Source organism: Homo sapiens, chromosome 5, assembly GCF_000001405.40.
Source record: "Homo sapiens chromosome 5, GRCh38.p14 Primary Assembly".
Taxonomy (NCBI): domain Eukaryota; kingdom Metazoa; phylum Chordata; class Mammalia; order Primates; family Hominidae; genus Homo; species Homo sapiens.
In genome coordinates this window covers 42,984,219-43,001,149 of record NC_000005.10, presented here as the reverse complement: position 1 = coordinate 43,001,149, position 16,931 = coordinate 42,984,219, and the positions used below count along the sequence as shown (strand labels likewise).

The 16,931-nt window shown below is 43.6% G+C and overlaps 2 long non-coding RNA genes across 4 annotated transcripts, besides 6 other annotated features; one reads left to right on the top strand and one right to left on the bottom strand.

Annotated features, from left to right (window-relative positions):
* LOC105374746 (uncharacterized) lies at positions 143 to 8,875 on the bottom strand. Of its 3 annotated transcripts, none has more exons than XR_007058755.1 (3): positions 5,903 to 8,875; positions 4,288 to 4,941; positions 143 to 1,017 (listed from the first exon to the last, which is right to left on the bottom strand). It is a non-coding gene; the product is annotated as an uncharacterized LOC105374746 (long non-coding RNA). The 3 variants fall into 3 exon arrangements; XR_007058754.1 differs by having other exon boundaries at positions 4,525 to 4,941; XR_007058753.1 differs by having other exon boundaries at positions 4,525 to 8,875.
* Positions 200 to 699: an enhancer, noted in NCBI's record as "H3K4me1 hESC enhancer chr5:43000553-43001052 (GRCh37/hg19 assembly coordinates)". NCBI's record gives its function as "activates a minimal SCP1, AML or CMV promoter by ChIP-STARR-seq in naive H9 embryonic stem cells {active_cell/tissue: H9 hESC(naive)}" and the evidence as "EXISTENCE:reporter gene assay evidence [ECO:0000049][PMID:30033119]".
* Positions 700 to 1,201: an enhancer, noted in NCBI's record as "H3K4me1 hESC enhancer chr5:43000051-43000552 (GRCh37/hg19 assembly coordinates)". NCBI's record gives its function as "activates a minimal SCP1, AML or CMV promoter by ChIP-STARR-seq in naive H9 embryonic stem cells {active_cell/tissue: H9 hESC(naive)}" and the evidence as "EXISTENCE:reporter gene assay evidence [ECO:0000049][PMID:30033119]".
* Positions 7,649 to 7,943: an enhancer, noted in NCBI's record as "tiled region #2050; HepG2 Activating DNase matched - State 1:Tss, and K562 Activating DNase unmatched - State 1:Tss". NCBI's record gives its function as "activates a minimal TATA promoter and a strong SV40 promoter by Sharpr-MPRA in HepG2 and K562 cells {active_cell/tissue: HepG2 | K562}" and the evidence as "EXISTENCE:reporter gene assay evidence [ECO:0000049][PMID:27701403]".
* On the top strand, positions 7,817 to 15,752 carry FLJ32255 (uncharacterized LOC643977). Its single transcript, NR_104643.1, has 2 exons — positions 7,817 to 10,311; positions 15,488 to 15,752. It is a non-coding gene; the product is annotated as an uncharacterized LOC643977 (long non-coding RNA).
* Positions 8,213 to 8,342: an enhancer, noted in NCBI's record as "active region_22518". NCBI's record gives its function as "activates an Ori minimal core promoter by ATAC-STARR-seq in GM12878 lymphoblastoid cells {active_cell/tissue: GM12878}" and the evidence as "EXISTENCE:reporter gene assay evidence [ECO:0000049][PMID:35858748]".
* Positions 8,643 to 8,852: an enhancer, noted in NCBI's record as "active region_22517". NCBI's record gives its function as "activates an Ori minimal core promoter by ATAC-STARR-seq in GM12878 lymphoblastoid cells {active_cell/tissue: GM12878}" and the evidence as "EXISTENCE:reporter gene assay evidence [ECO:0000049][PMID:35858748]".
* Positions 9,193 to 9,342: an enhancer, noted in NCBI's record as "active region_22516". NCBI's record gives its function as "activates an Ori minimal core promoter by ATAC-STARR-seq in GM12878 lymphoblastoid cells {active_cell/tissue: GM12878}" and the evidence as "EXISTENCE:reporter gene assay evidence [ECO:0000049][PMID:35858748]".
* Positions 15,753 to 16,931: the final 1,179 nt, after the last annotated feature.

Sequence of the window (16,931 nt, the reverse complement as noted above, 5' to 3'; positions counted from 1 at the left end):
TTTTTGTATTTGATTTTGCTCTGCAACCAGCAAATCCAGGCGACCCAGGTTTCCCTGCCAGTCCTGGCAACAGCAACCAGACACCCCACCCCTGAGCCTCATCCTTACTCAACGTCATCAGCAGGAACTCAGGTAACAGGAATTTCACATTTGTGTACAATTTTATTGAGAAGAGGAAGGAAAAAAGGCATAAAGTGATCTGAAGGCGAAACTTCTTCCATCGCATTTGAGAGAACTCAGGTATTATTGTAACTTTATTTATTTATTTATTTATTTACAAGAGGATCATCCAATGGAAGGTCTCAGAGGAAGTTTCAGGGCCCAGGATTCCAAAGGCGGGCCGTGGACACAGTCTCAGGGCGTCTGTCCCCAAGCGCATGCCATCTGCAGCCAGCAGTCTTGGAACTTTGGTTGGTGGCACCAGGGGACAGCAGTAGGCTGACACTCTCAAAGGTCTTCTCGGATGGAAGTCTCCGGCTCCAGTCGTCTGTCCACTAAGCGAGAGGCGAGTTGCGAGGGAGGCTGCGGGGGCGGGCGGGCGTATGTTGAGACCCTATGCAGCCTCCTGCTCTCCCGAGGGCTCCTGCGGCTCCTCCTGAATTGCCTGCGCCGGATCCAGAGCAGGCGACTCTGCGCCCCGCCTCCAGGTACTCTGAGGCTTGGGAAAGAGATCTTTTCGCCGGCAGTTTCAGCAAGGAAGCACGCAGGGAGCGGAAAGTATGTGGCAGTGGAAATCTAGGTCGGCCCAGGAGAGCTCGCAGTGGTAAGCACAGGAAGGGAGCATCCAGGACACCGAATGTACTGAGCTCCGGGCTGGAGGCATCTGGTCCCGCCGCCTCCTTTGCGGAATCCCGGGCCTGCCAAACTCGGAGGGGACACGGCAACTCCATCGCGTCCTTTCACCAGCGGATACAGGGTATCTAGGACTCATAAGTCAACATCTTTTGCGTTTTTGTAATCTTCTGGTCTCATGGGCCGTCCAAATCAGATTGCAGGGAGGTGGGTGTGAACCTTATTCTTAGGAGCAAGTTACATCAGGACATGGAATTAATGAGATTAACATAAAGTCCTATCATTTGAGATGAAGTTATCTAGTTAAACAATTTGCTTTAGGAATTGAAAAGAAAAAATATCACCTTTCTTGTACAGAGAAAGCCGTCTTGGGGCACCCTGGTTAGAAAGTTCATTATTGTCCCCAAATGCATTGCTAGTACTAGAGCAGACAGGATCCCTTTCTGCCTCAGAGTAGTGCTTGTCAGATGCCTAAAGATCGCTATGTTACTGAGGAGCAGGCCAGGGTAGTTGCCCATTTTTAAAATTAGAGGATCATTTTTTGGGGAGATATTTTATTATTGTATTATTCTGTGTTACGTTGACTCATGTTACATTTTAATTTTAGATTCAGGAGGTACATGTGTAGGTTTGTTATGAGAATATATTGCGTGATTCTGAGGCTTGATCTCATCACCCAGAGAGTGAACTAAATCCCCAGGAGGAAGTTTTTCAGCCTCTACCCCCTTATGTCCCTCCCTCCCTCCTTTCGGAGTCCTCAGTGGTCTATTGTTCTCATCTTTATGTCCCTGTATACCAGGCTGAACTCCCACTTCTAAGTGAGGACATGTAATATTTGTTTCTGCATGAATTTGTTTAGGATAATGGCATCCTTATAGAATAGCTTGAAGCTGGATAATGTGATGCTTTGGGCTTCATTATTTATTTATTTATTTATTGTTTGGGATGCTTTGCCTATTCATTGTCTTTTTTTTTTTTTTTTTTTTTGAGACAGGGTTTTTGCTGCAGCTCAGGTGGGAATGCAGTGTCATGCTCTTGGCAACCTGGACCTCCCAGGCTCAAGGGATCCTCTCCGTCAGCCTCCAGAGTAGCTGGTGATCCTCCCCCCTCAGCCTACAGAGTAGCTGGGAATACAAGTATGTGCCACCATACCTGGCTAATTTTTCTTGTATTTTTTGTAAAGATGGGTTTTCACCATGCTGCTAGCTTGGTGGTTGCCTCAGCCTCCTGAGTGGCTGGGACTACAGACAGCTGGGACTGCAGGCAGGAATCACCACATCCAGCTAATAATTTTTTTTTTTTTTGGTAGAAATTGTGTTTCACTGTGTTATCTGGTTTGGTCTTGGACTTCTGGCCTTAAGTGATCCTCCTCCCTCAGCCTCTCAAAGTGCTTGGATTACAGATGTTAGCCACCATGCCTAGCCCATAATAAAGTTGTTCTAGTCTTAGATTCTTCTCTCATGATGGTAATTCCACCTTCAGTTTTTGGGGTTTTTTTTTTTCGTTTTTTTTTCTTTTTTTTACAACATCTTGCTCTGTTTCCCAGGCAGAAGTGCAGGGGCAGGATCCCAGCTCACTGCAAACTCTGCCCCCTGGGTTTAAATGATTCTACCACCTTAGCCTTCCGAGTATCTGAGATTACAGTTTCATGCCACCATGTCTGGCTAATGTTTGTAGTTTTAGTAGAGAGGGGGTTTTACTATGTTGGCCAGGCTGGTCTCAAACTCGTGGCCTCAAGTGATCCTCCTGCCTCAGCCTTCCAAAGTGCTAGGATTACAGATGTGGGCCACTGCACCTGGCCCAGATTTTTTTTTTCGCTTTGTTCATTGCATTATTCATATCGAAGTGGAAAATCGCGGATAATTCTAGTCTTACTATACTACCTAATATAGCATCCTACTATACACTTATGTTAAGTTTCTTGATAGCATTTATCACGGCCGAGCGCAGTGGCTCATGCCTGTAATCCTAGCACTTTGGGAGGCCGAGGTGGGTGGATCACCTGAGGTAAGGAGTTCAAGACCAGCCTAGCCAACACGGCTAAACCCTGTCTCTACTAAAAATACAAAAATTAACCAGGCATGTTGAGCGCCTGTAGTTCCAGCTACTCGGAAGGCTGGGGCGGGAGGATTGCTTGAACCCAGGTGGCAGAGGTTGTAGTGAGCCGAGATCATGCCACTGCACTCCAGCAGTGGAAACAGAGTGAGACTGTCTTAAAAACAAACAAACAAAACAACAACAACAGCAACAAAAAGCATTTATTATATAAATACTGTCTTATTTATTTATTTGTTTTCCTGTTTACTGTCTTTTTTCAACTCATGAAGGTGTCAAACACTTTGTGGCCAAGTCCATGTCTACTTGTTGATCACTTATTTCTGGGACCTTGATCCCTTTGTAGTACAATATAGATGCTTAGCATTTGTTAATGAAGAAACAATAAATGTATTAAAAGACTGGGTGTGGTGGCTCATTCCAGAAATCCCAGCACATTGGGAGGCTGAGATGAGAGGATTGCTTGAGCCCAGGAGTTTGAGCCGAGTCTGGGTAACATAGGGAGACTCTACCTCTACAAAAAATTTAAAAATTAGCTGGGTGCCTGGTGTGCCTCTGTAGTCTCAGCTACTTGGGAGGCTGAGGTAGGAGGATTGCTTGAGCCTAGGAGATTGAGGGTAAATTGAACAGTGATCATGCCACCACACTGCAGCCTGGGTGACAGAATGAGACCCTATCTCAAAAAAAAAAAAGAAACAAAAAACAGTAGTCTCAGAGGTCTATAGCTGATTATAATCCTATAAAAGGATCAAAGTAAAACAATAATTGTTGATGGCAAAAGTATTAGAATAGCAAGGGTTAAAGATGCAATGGACAAGGAAATTTGGTTATAGCTATGGCGTACAACAATTTAATATAATGATCATAATTAGTTCTGATAACATACACTAACATTTCAGAATCACAGGAATCTCATACGATTTTGTAATACATACTAATAAGACATTCATATAAATACAATCTAAAGAAAGTTAAATATCATTTCATATTTGATAATGCATCTTATGTGATCTTATTATGCCAAATAAGCCAAATATATCTCTTTGGATTTCAGGGGACTTAATGTCAAAAAAATTAATGAGGTAAAAAAGACCGAATTTAGAATTGGATTTTAGAAAGTTTGTCAAATACTTAAAACAAGGTCAATGTTTAAAACACTTGATATCACAAAATAGAATCACAGGTCATTGTAAAATAAGTCAGTCATTTAGTCAAAGTGGTAACTCAAATATTTCAAAAACAAAAAGGCAAAACCTTTTACTCTTTGAGACTTACTTTCCCAAAAAATAAGACCTAATGAAGATAGAATGAAGCCAATTAAATCTATTTCTCAAATCTTATAGACAAGTGTATTAAATTTTAATCATCTTGACCAGAAGCAATAATTTTATAAACCTTTCATAACGTTTTATAATGTTTAAAAAAAGAATGGGTTAATACCTCAAGAAAACATTGCTAATCTGACACAGGGGCCCACAGGCTGGTCTTGCATCAGTGTTCCTTTTATATTAATCTTTATAGGCTGGCCATTGTGGCTCACATCTGTAATCTCAGTACTTTGAGAGGCATAGGTGGGTGGATTCCTTGATCTCAGGAGTTTGAGACTAGCCTTGGCAATGTGATGAAACACTGTCTCTACAAAAAATACAAAAATTAGCCAGGCATGGTGGTACACACCTGCAGTCCCAGCTACTCAGGAGGCTGAGGTGGCAGGATCGCTTGTGTCTGGGAGATGGAGGTTGCAGTGAGCCAGGATCATGCCACTGCATTCCAACCCAGGTGACAGAGCTAGTTCCTGTCAAAACAAAACAAAACAAAACAAAACAAAACAAAACCACTGTTTATAGAGAAATACTGAACTAACTTTCTCTCTTAAAGTAGGTCCTTACAAGTCCAAACACCCACTTCTTCTGCAATAGTCCCTGGGACTAGGGGGTTGAATAGTTTAATTTTCTGGACACAGGTCTTGTGAATGCAGCTTCTTCTGATTTTCATCTTCTCTTAGGTCTGAAGATGAGGCTTCAGTTGCTGTTAATGTTTAAGATTTAGTAGGAGTTGGTGACCTTTTTCGACCCAGGAGTGAAAGCCCTGTAACTTGGTAACACAAAAACGTTAAAAGAATTACAGAAAGTTATGTAGATATAATAACCTTTTTTAATCTCAGTTTTTCTAAGCAAATAAAAACCTAGTAATAATTACACAGGAATTATTTTGATAAAATGTACAGTATGTTTTTACCTTTTTCCTAAATAACCTTTGAATTAGATAAAACTATTTTCCTTTTAATAATAACACTTTTTCTTTGGAAAAATGTTTGCCTACAGTACTTTTGTAAAGTTGAGAATGACCCAGACATTTAATGACTACCTATTATTTCATAAAATATAACTCTAAGATTTTTTTTTTTTGACGGAGTCTCAGTCTGCCTAGGCTGGAGGACGGTGGCACGATCTGAGCTCACTGCAACCTCTGCCTCCGAGTTCAAGAGATTCTCCTGCCTCAGCCTCCTGAGTAGCTGGGATTGCAGGCATGCATCATCACCGGCTAATTTTTGTATTTTTAGTAGAGATGGGGTTTCACCACTTGGGCCAGGCTGGTCTCCAACTCCTGACCTCAAGTGATCTGCCCATGCTGGCCTCCCAAAGTGGTGGCTCACACAGTAATATCACAGTCTTCTGAATTCAAAATAGGCCGAGGCTGGAGCTCAGGCACCACCTCTGCGGAATCTCAAGCAGGCTTCACATAGCCAAGAAAATGTTGCTCCATCGCTTAATTAAGCCTCAGAGCAGGAGGACATAAGCGTTTGCGCTGATTGACGAGATGAAGCAGAACCTTTAGCACTACCATCAGCCTGGGTATTTATGCTCTCCGGAGCTCGTGGGCAGAGGGCACCCAGATATTATGAAACTCAATAGTAACGAATGCACGAAAATTAGTAGACAAATGAAAACCGGTAAAATTCTAGAGAGCACATAGAAACAAAACAAATCGTAATTCCGACAGAAAAACAGCGAGAAAAGAAGTCGAAATGAAACGGATACTAAGCAAACCTTACAGAGAACGAGCGCTACAAAACGCAGGGATTAAAGAGTTCTTCAGGGGCCAAAAACCATCTGTGTCCGGGAAATGAGCATTGCTGCCACCGGAAAACTGTCCGCTAGGTCTCTGCACTGCTCTGGACCTCGCTAGCAAGAATCTGGCGGCGCTGAGACTCAGCAAGCGCCGGCACCTAGCGGATAGCGCTGGTATTGCCAAACAAATATCCGTTTAGGCGCCATAACGGTGCTGCTAGAAAGAAACTGCGGATTCTTAGGAGGGGTGCTTCCATCCCGAAACATACTGTCTGGAGGAATGGACCGACTCTGTTTAAATGTGTTGTGACGTTTTAATGTGTTTTAATCCGTTTAATGTGTTTAATCCGTTTAATGTGTTTTAACACGTTTTAATGTGTTGTGACAGGAAAAGAGCCGGCTAACGGTATTACGGAAGTACTAGTTGGCACAGAGGCTCGGTGCAATTACCGTTCTGCACCGTAAAACGGGTTTAGGAAGTTCCTAGGAGATACTAGCGGTGCCAGAACCGAGAAAGTGACGACACAGACAACTTATGGACTCCGCGTACGGGAAACGTTCCGTTGGGCGCTAAGAACGGTGCAGCAACTGAAAAACCGCTCAGTGGGCGCTACTGGCAAAAGCGTTGCTGCAAAACCGCCAGCTCCGCATTAGAAGCAGAGCCGCCAGACAGAACCCGGGACCTGAAACCACCGAAGCGGAGACCGAGCTTGGCTCCCCAGCTCCTGAGAGAATGCAAGTCAAGGAGTACGAAGCTGTGATACTCAAAATTAGTAGAAGAAAAATGAATAACATTTAAATAAGATAAAATTTTAAAATAATAAATTCTAAAATTCAAATAAAAAGGCAAAGCAAACACACTGGAAACTACCGGTAGCATTGTTCTCAGAGCAAAAGACACAAAAAGAGCATTTAAAAATAAGCAAAAATTAGAGAGAACCAACCCTACAAAGCAGAAATTACAAGTATTGCCAAAAGAAGCAATTCTGTGATTAGGATATCCCTGTTAGATCTAAACCGGTACATGTTACACCTAAGTCTACATTTCTTAGGACAAAAACAAAAACAAACAACAACAACAACAAGAAACCAACAAAACCCAGTCATGGTTAAACCTGTTTACGACTAAAAAATCGTAGTAGCTGATATATCCCGACTTGGTCCACAAGAGGAAAAAGTCGCGTTCGGCGGAAATTGCTATCGTCAAACCGAGCTTCGTAAACCAGAAATCGCTTTTGCCGGCATTTCCTGACTTCCATGGGAGTTTAAAAAACACCAACATAGCTAAGGCGGGACTTGATGTTGCGCAGCTAGCCTTGGTGTAAGAGCTCCCAGGCACTGCTAAACTGGTCATCGCTAAACCTAAATGAATCGCATTCGCTGGTACACAGATTTCTACAGGAGTTGAACATCTCCTGCGCAGCTAAAGCAAGCCGTACTAGTAGGAAGCCGGAACTTGCCACGACTTAGAAACTTGAGGCTTTGGGAGGCCAAGGCGGGTGGATCATCTGAGGTCGGGAGTTTGAGACCAGTCTGGCTAATGTGGCAAAACCCCGTCTCTACTAAAAATACAAAAATTAGCCGGGTGTGGTGGCGGGCGCCTATAATCCCAGCTATTTGGGAGGCTGAGGCAGGAGAATCACTTGAACCCGGGAGGTGGAGGTTGCAGTGAGCCGAGATCGCCGAGATGGCGCCACTGCATTCTAGCCTGGACGAAAGAAACTCTGTCTCAAAAAAAAAAAAAAAAAAAAAAAAAAAAAGAAAAAGAAAAAAGAAACTTGAGGCAGGGCTAACTCTGCGTTTGTTATGATTAGGCTACAGGAAACCCGGAGTTGCTGGGAAATGAGTCACAGGGTCACTCAGCCTTTCTGTGGCGAAACATCGACTTCCTACGACCTAGAAATCGCCGCCAGGGCTAGGCTGGTGTTTGTCCTAAGTGGGTACTTGCTTGGGTTGAGAAATCACATTTTGGCTATTCCCCGACTTGAACCAGGGGATAGAAATCGTAGTCACCGGCTGGGCGCAGCGGCTCATGCTGTAATCCTGGCAGTTTGGGAGGCCGAGGCGGGCAGATTATTGAGGTTAGGAGTTCGAGACCAGCCTGGTCAATATGATGAAACACCGCCTCTAGTAAAAATACAAAAATTATCCGGGCGTGGTGGCGAGCGCCTGTAATCCCAGCTACTCAGGAGGCTGAGGCAGTAGAATCCCTTGAACCTGGGGTGCGGAGGTTGCAGTGAGCCAAGATCGCGCCACTGCACTCCAGGCTGGGCGACACGGCGAGACTCTGTCTCAAAACAAAACAAAAGGAAAAGAAGAGAAAAGAAAAAGAAACGCAGGCACCCTGAAATCGAAACTTGTTAGGACCAACAAGCCAACGACAGACGAATCTGCGGGGTCCTGCGACAGACACGCCAGCCCCGCCGCCACAGCACAGGGTTCTGGAGGTCGAGCTGTTCTGCGGGTTCTGCGGCGGCGCTGGGAAGAGACGGCGCCCGGGCAGCTCCCCTGTCACCGGCTTGGAGGAGCGGCGGGCTCCCCTAGCCCAGCGCCGCCGCCGCCGCCCGGGAACGCCAGGCTCACCCCAGCTGGGGAAGCTCCGAATCCCTCAGATCGGCGACCTGAGTGCTGTCGCCCCGAGAAAATGGAGGCATCGAGCAACGAGCTGTGCTGAGACCGAGAGACCTCAGTTCTGCGAAATGTCGGTGCCTGGAGCTTGCGAATGACTGCGGCCGGCGGGTTGTCAAGGACAACATTCCTTATGGCGCAACCAACAGCGCTGTCACCAAGAAACTGGACTCTGAGAAAAAAGAGGGTTTCGGCCACCGAGAAACTCCGTGCCACATGTGCCGTGACAGCAAAACCGCCCGCTCCGCGCCGCTGGTGAAAGAGCTAACGAACGCCAGGTGCTGCGACAGTGACACCGGGACTAGAAGGCCTCGGATGGAGAATGGGACGCCCAGAGCAAGCAGGAAAACGTTTTGTTTGGCTCAACTAGCGCTGTCGCAACCGGAAAACTGTCAGGCCAGTGCTGCTGCGGATGTGAGAAACCGGTGATCCGAAGGCGGAGTGGCGCTGGGCGCTGGACTCGCTGGTGTGAAAATCTGGCTGCTCTAGGACCCGGCAAGCGCGGGCACCAGGCGAACGCCAGCGACTTTGCCAGACAAATGCATGTCTTTTTTGGTCGCCATTCAAAGATGCAGCCGGCAGTCAGCCCCGGCTCTGAGAAACAAGTGGAGGTGTCAGCCATAAACCCTCCGTTCAGGGAAAAGAGAGTCGCTGCGACGGATCGACTGGCCGTTGGGTGGAACTTTCTTTGGTGGCCTAGTGACTAGAAAATAAAAACGAAAACGAAATAAAAAACTGCTACTGACATTACTCCCACGCTCCCTCCTCAAGTCAGTGGCTTCAGGCTTAAGAAAACCTGTATTTTTCTTGGCTGATCCGTGATCCCTAATTACTGAGGGCCCCGCGACCCACCAAGTGCGATTCGCAGAGGGAAAGGAGCTGGAATAAGGATCCAGAATGGGACGGATTTGGCTCCTCCAGGAAGAAAGCAAAACAAATGCAGGTCGCGAACACTTTACATTGCAGGAAGCTGCTCTTCCAGTGGCCGCGGCTGGGTCCTTCCACACCACCTCTCTGTCCTAGGCCTTCGTCCCGGTTCAGCCCTCACGGATTCTAGGCTAGCGGTCAACAACCGCATCCCTCCGGAACCTGGAAACTCTAGGTCCGAGATCTCGGTGAAGAATGAAAGGCACAGCGCCGCTCAACCCAGGCTTCAGGCCTGCCCCGCTGGTCCCGTCCCTTCCCTGTGGGATGGAACTCTGTGGGAATCGCTCCTTATTCTGATGGTTCACTCATTCAGATGTCCTTGATATTTGGGGATATTTCTAAAACAGCTGGGGAGAAAAATGGACTGCGAGGCTCCGGTGTTGGACGTGAAATTGGCAGTGAGACATCCGCCTCTAAGCCCAGGGAAAAGCTTAAATTGTGGTTCTCTGTCTCTAGCACCGTGATCTTTGAAATGCGTTATTGATTTTCTTCTTTCTTCTGGGAAATGCAATGCAGGTGAACTTGTAAGTGTTGAATCCTCCCTCTCCTCACTGTTCAATCAGACTGAGGCCTACTTCCTTTCTGATAAGAAATATGGAACTGCCATTGCTCAGTAGGAAAATGTCCTTTCTACAAGCATTCATATTTCAATAAAAATCTGCACTTTGTGAGTTGAGCCCCCTCAAAGAGACCTACAGACCCTGCCATGAGCATCTCCATCCACACTCATCATTTCCCATTTTCACCACTTCTGCTCCTGTGCAAACCAGTACTATCCTTTTCTGGGGGATCCTAGGCAGAAGCGATGGCAGGACAAAGGCAGAGAAGGCACTGCCAGGTAAGGAAATCTATTTTGCCCTTGCAATTCTGTCTCCCAAGGGATTTGCCTCAATATCTCCCTCCCACCATACCCCTTCTTCAGCTAGCCAAAACCTTCCCTGCTATTTGAGGCTCCTCCAATTGCCTCCTGGTCCTGTGGTTGCAAGAATAAAGGAAAAACTACACTGTTCTCACCCACATAGTTACAGACACTATGAAATAGAAGAGCAGTCTGGAGTCATTGCAAAGCAAAATACCTACCATCAGTTCTCTCTTCCTATTTCTTTTTTTTTTCTTTTGAGACAGAGTCTTGCTCTGTCACCAGGCTCGAGTGCAGTGGCGCGATCTCGGCTCAGTGCAACCTCTGCCTCCCGTGTTCAAGGATTCTCCTGCCTCAGCCTCCTGAGTAGCTGGGGCTACAGGAGCGTGCCACAACGCCCAGCTGATTTTTGTATTTTTAGTAGAGACGGGGTTTCACCATGTTGACCAGGATGGTCCCGATCTCTTTACCTCGTGATCTGCTCGCCTTGGCCTCCCAAAGTGCTGGGATTACAGGTGTGAGCCACCGTGCCCGGCCCTCTGTTCCCATTTCTACTCCAGCTTCCCATCTTAGTAAAAAAAATCTGTGAGCAACACCCTGTAGCGGGAAAAGGTAACCTGTCTTGATGGGAGTCCATAGGAGGCTGCAGGCTGCTTCCCTACAGAGACTGATATCAAGGTAGCTGCAGAATTTAGATTCTAATCCTAGTGTGATTGGAGGTGGGGTAGATTCCAGGGAGGTCAGAAAGTGATCAAATACAAAATTGTGCTCCTTTGGAGGAGGTCATAGGAACTTTGAATTATGACAATGGCTAGTAATTGGGTAGAATTGGAGCAGGCTGGTGATGGCAGTTTTGTGTGGGTGGTAGGACCTAGGAATCAAACTTGAGGGCAAATTGTGGAGCACATATGACAAACGATGTAGAGCCTTTCCTATTTCCCTTTCCAGTGTGTTATCCAAAACAATAAATAATAAAGAATTAAGAAAGACTAATATTTTTATCAATCTCATTAAGAAAAATTGCATCAAATCAAGATAACTATAATGATAAATATTGTTAGAATATTATTAACCAAATGAAAGTGACACAAAACAAAAACGGGGTGGATGGTGGGAGAGATCAAATAAAAGCAGTCTCCAACACTCAGGCAATTTGCACAGGTGAATCTTCTGGCCAGTTGTTATGTTGCAGGAAGCTGTGCAACTAATGAATGAGGAGGCAGGAATCCATATTAATACTTTCCTGATACAGAGAAATTCTTGGATTTAACAATCTGCTTCTTTGTCAGATACTGACTTTTGATTATAGGCTCAGAAAAGATGATAACAGTTATAATCACTTAGTCTAGTAGAGTAGGTAAAAGAAAGACTGTGTAGGAGGCTAGACAGAAAGCAAAAGGTAAAAGTGCCCCGGGGTAAGTCATCTAGAGTTGAAAGTGAAGAACTGTGCTTGGTACCAATGGAGGACTCCACCAGGTCAGGTTAACCTACAAAAAATGAACCATTGGCTGTTGATCTCTGGGACTGAAGATTCACCCTATCCCATTCCTGTCTAGCCTCAGCTTTACATTCACTGTGTAGCTCAAAGGTTTTTGTTTGTTTTTTTTTTTTTTTTTGTAAAACACTCTCCACAAATGTTTGATAGATTATAAAACCCTGTCCTAAGACTTTGTCATCCACAGACAATTGTCTTATTTTCAGTCCTCTTCAAAAGGTCGTTTATAATTAGCTATTGGATTTTGATAGGTGTTTTTGAATGCAGGTTTCTAATTACTCTGGAGATTGTGACATTAGAATAAAGAAAAATGTGACATGAGTCTGCTTGGGAACATTTTTTTTTTTTTAAAGTGGAATAGAGGAGTAAACTTTTAGGACTCTCATGGAGAGCTGAAGTATTCGTGAATATCAAACAGGAGTTAATTGCATGGACCGAACAAATAGAAGACTGAAATGATATTGTTGACTTTTTTGCTAAAAAATTGCTGATCCTTAAAAAATTGCTGATCCTTTTTTATGTTTTCCTGAGTCAAGGAAACTTTACTTTTGAGCTATTGACAGCTTTTAACAATTCAGTAAAGTATACTCCAGTGAACAAAATTTGGAGCATATTTCTTTCTCTTTACCTGATTTCTCCAGAATTTGGAAACTATTTGTGAATATTCTTAACTTATGTCAATGTAGTTATTTGCATAAGTGCAATAAGAATGTTTTCTTTTGCAACAGAACACCATTGGAGAAACTGGTTATTTTACCAAGGCTTTGACTGAAATGGTGTGCTTTTCTTTAAGGAGTCAAACTTGAGTTACAGAGCCAATAAAAGCTCCTTGGGAAAACAGGCCCCAAACCTTGTCTACACAGACCCTATACAGGGTTTCTGATTTGTGGTAAGTAAAGAATGTCACTTTTTGACAAGCCCAGGAGCCCCAAGTGATCTTGGGACCTCTAGAGGAGGGGAATTTACCCAACTCATATGTATTCGATGGTACAAAGCCATGGCCGGGCTCGGCTTTTAAAAAGTCTTATCTGAGACTTTTTCTATGGAATAGAGTTCCATCAAAGTCATTTAAAAAGGCTTGTGTGAAAAATAATTGTTCTTGCGGCACTTTATACAAATAATCAGACCAAGTATAATAAAGCGAATAGGTCCTACCATGATTTCTCTTTAGTAAAAATGGGAAACTGGAGAGAGAAAAATTATGTTTCAACAACTATAGTATACATGCTGTTAGATTCTAGTCTTGCCTAATGTTATTTAATTTTTATTATTTTCTACAGTTTGGACTGAATTCCAAAATTTTTTTCTGGCTAAAAGTCTCCAAAATGATGTTTTCAATTATTTTCTTCTTTCTTTTCCTTTCCCTTACCCATTTTTTCCTAATTTTAAATCACTGAAAACTAAACTGTGCTTTCTTAAAGCCCTGCAAAATGAAGCTAGACAACTTAAACTTCAGAAGTAAATAAGAACAACCTATGTACATACATAAACCACTCTCATACCTGCCTGCTGATGTATGGACTTCAAAGTATTATGGCCCATATTGATTTTCCAGAATTATCTTTTTTGGTTTGTTTGTCGCTGTTTTTCTCCTTTCCTACCCATATTTTCTCTTCATAGGATGTGAGACTTCACAACCTGCTAAAAATGAGCCCTCCTAATAATGTGTGTCCTACCCAACTGGGAATAAACCATCGTAGCCATGAGAGATCAGATGGCTCTTCTCCTCCAAATATCATGTTAGAGGAGACTCACTTTCTTGTAAAATGCTTTATCTGAAAGAATTTAAAAAGAAACGGGAGGAAATGTGAAAGGAAAATAAATCCAGGGACCCCCAAATCACTAAGCCAAAAGGAAAAGTTAAGCTGGGAGCTTTAGGGCAAACCTGCCTTCCATTCTATTCCTAAAGAATATAGCTGCTAAGTTGAAAAAGTTACATACCGGCCAGGCAAAGTGGCTCACGCCTATAATCCCAGCACTTTGGGAGGCTGATGTGGGCGGATCACCTGAGGTCGGGAGTTTGAGACCAGCCTGACCAACATAGAGAAACCCCGTCTCTACCAAAAATACAAAATTAGCCGGGTGTGATGGCACATGCCTGTAATCCCCGCTACTCGGGAGGCTGAGGCAGGAGAATTGCTTGAATTTGGGAGGTGGAGGTTGTGGTGAGCTGAGGTCCTGCCATTGCACACCAGTCTGGGCAACAGGAGCAAAACTTGCTCTCAAAGGAAAAAAAAAAGCCACATACCTCCCTCACCCTCACAAGGAATTTCTTTGTGGACAAAGCACAGACAGAACTCGAAGTCATCCCTCTGCTCACTGAGATAAATGCATAACTGATTGCCTCCTTTAGAAAGGCTAATCAGAAACTCAAAAGAATGCATCTGTTTGTTTTTTACCAATCTATGACCTGGGAGCCCCCTCTCCACTTTGAGTTTTTCCGCCTTTCCGGACGGAGCCAATGTACATCTTATGTATATTGATTGATGTCTCATATCTCCCCAAAGTATATAAAACCAAGTTGTGCCATGACCACCTTGGTCATATGTGGTCAGGACCTCCCTGAGGCTGTGTTATGGGTGCGTGCCCTTAACTTTGGCAAAATAAATTTCCTAAATTGACTGAGACCTGTCTCAGATATTTGATGTTCACACTATAATGGATAACTGAGACTGATTAAATTATAAAGAAAGGATTTTTATTTTGGCTCACAGTTTTGTGCTGTACAAGCATGACACTAGCGTTTTCTGTTGAGGGTGTCAGGAAGCTTCCACTTATTGTGGAAGACAAAGGAAAAACATGTGTATCACATGGTGAAAGAAGGAGCAAGAGAGAGAGGGAGAGGTACCGGGCCTCCTTTTAAACAACTTGATCTCCTGTAAACTCATTATGGCGGGGAGGGCACCAAGCCGTTCATGAGGGATCTGCCCCCATGACCCAAACACCTCCTACCAGACCCCATCTGTAGATTGAGGATTACATTTCAACATGATATTTGGAGGAGAAACGTCATCTAAACTTTATCAGAGAGAAATGAATGTAAACTCCGCAGGTAGCATGTATTAGGCTATTATTGCATGCTATAAAGAAATACCTGAGACTGGGCATTTTGTAAAAAACAAAACAAAACAAAAGAAGGTTTAATTGACTTATGGTTCTGTAGGCTGTACAAGGAAGCATCGTGGCGTCTGCTTCTGGGGAGACTTCAGGAAGCTTCCAGTCATGTTGTAAGGCAAAGGAGGAGCAGGAACATCACATGTCAGAGTGGAAGCAAGAGAGAGAGAGAGTGGTGGAGAGTTGTCACACACTTTTAAACGATGAGATGGTGCAAAAGCTTACTATTGCAAAAACAGCATCAAGCCATGGAGGAATCCACTCCCATGACCCTGTATCTCCCACCAAGTCCCACCTTTAACATTGGGGATTATAAGTCAACATGAGATCTGAGCAGGGACAAACATCCATACTATATCCCAGCACACTCAGCATTAATCATTAGGTCAACTTGTCCCTGACCTGCTTCCTTATAGTTGTTTACTGCCTATTTTCTCAGAAGTATGTAGACTCTGCTACAAGATCATAGTTCACCTCAACTACTTTATAGATAACAACTTAAATATTAAGGAAACATTAAGTTTTCCCTTTGAAATATTGTTTCAGGTCCTGCATGCCAGTAAAACTACTCATGTCAGCTGTTCTGCAGGATCCCATGAGAAGGTGAGTCACCAGAAAATGCAGTTTCCACATCCTGATGATTTCATCTCCCTACCCCAACTGATCAATTTCTCCAATTTTCCAGCCTCTCACCCTCCACAATCCCCTTAAAAACTGTAGCCCAGAACTCTCTGGAATGATGAATTTGAAGGTTTGCTCCTGTCTCCTCACTCAGAAGCCTGTAATCATTAAACTCTTTCTCTGATGCAAACTCTGCTGTCTCAGTGTAATTGGTATGTAAGTGTGCAGCAGGCATATGAATCTGTTGGTCCTGTAACAGTTGGGATGCAGTGGCACAATTGTAGCTCACTGTAATCTCTACCTCCTACACCTAAGGGAACCTTACCACCTCAGCACTCGGAATAGCTAGGACTTTAGGTCTGTGTGCTACCACCCATGGCTAATTTATAAAATAATTTCTTTGTAGAGACAGGATCTTTCTATATAGCCTGGGCTGGTCTCAAACTCCTGGCCTCAAGGTATCCTCCCCACTCTGCATCACAAAGAGCTGTCATTACATGTGTGAGATACCATACCCTGCCCATGGTAGAATATTAACACATGGGTGTGAAATGTTGGCTTCAGTCTGGCATGTTATTACTTTATTAACAGTAAAGAATAATATCTGATCATGAAATTGTTTTTTTTTGTAAATAGAATATTTTCTATTTACATTGATGCTTTTGTAAATAGAATATTTGACTCTGATGAAGACATATTATAATTTCACTATGGATATGACCTGAAATGGAAAAAATTGACTTACAGAAAAAATACACCAAAGAAGTCACCATTTTATATTTGTTCTTATTACAATTATCTTTCAAGCCATAAAAAACAAAAATTAGTGATTTTATTACCAACTGAGAAGATTATTTTCTGCCAAGCAATCTCTAAACATTAACTTTTACTAGGAATGTATTCATGAAAGGGACTTTGTAAAATAGGAGCAAATTTGACCTCTTATTTAATCATTCAGAGATGAAATAAAATATAATACATTATTTGAAAAGATATCCAGGAAGCAGGAAGTACAGTCAGGGATCCCAGGAATGGGTGTGGTGATGTCTGTTGCACCAGGGCTTAGAGGGCAGGATCTTTCCTCTAGAAACTCTGTGTGTCAGGCATGCCTAGACAAAATACACTTATATTTGATGTTTTAGCATATCAAAGAGGTATTGCTTGGTTTAAAGATGAGGCTCAGTGAGTTTACACCACAGTCCAAGATCACAAAGGTAGTTCATGCTGGAGCTGGATTGAAGTCCCAGGTTATCAGGCATTCATATCAAGTAGGGAAATGAGTAAAGAAATAATTAGGTTGGGTTTTGAAAAAGAAGAATCCTATGCCTTACATAAAATTGTACCTTAAAAATTTTTTTGGCTGGGCGTG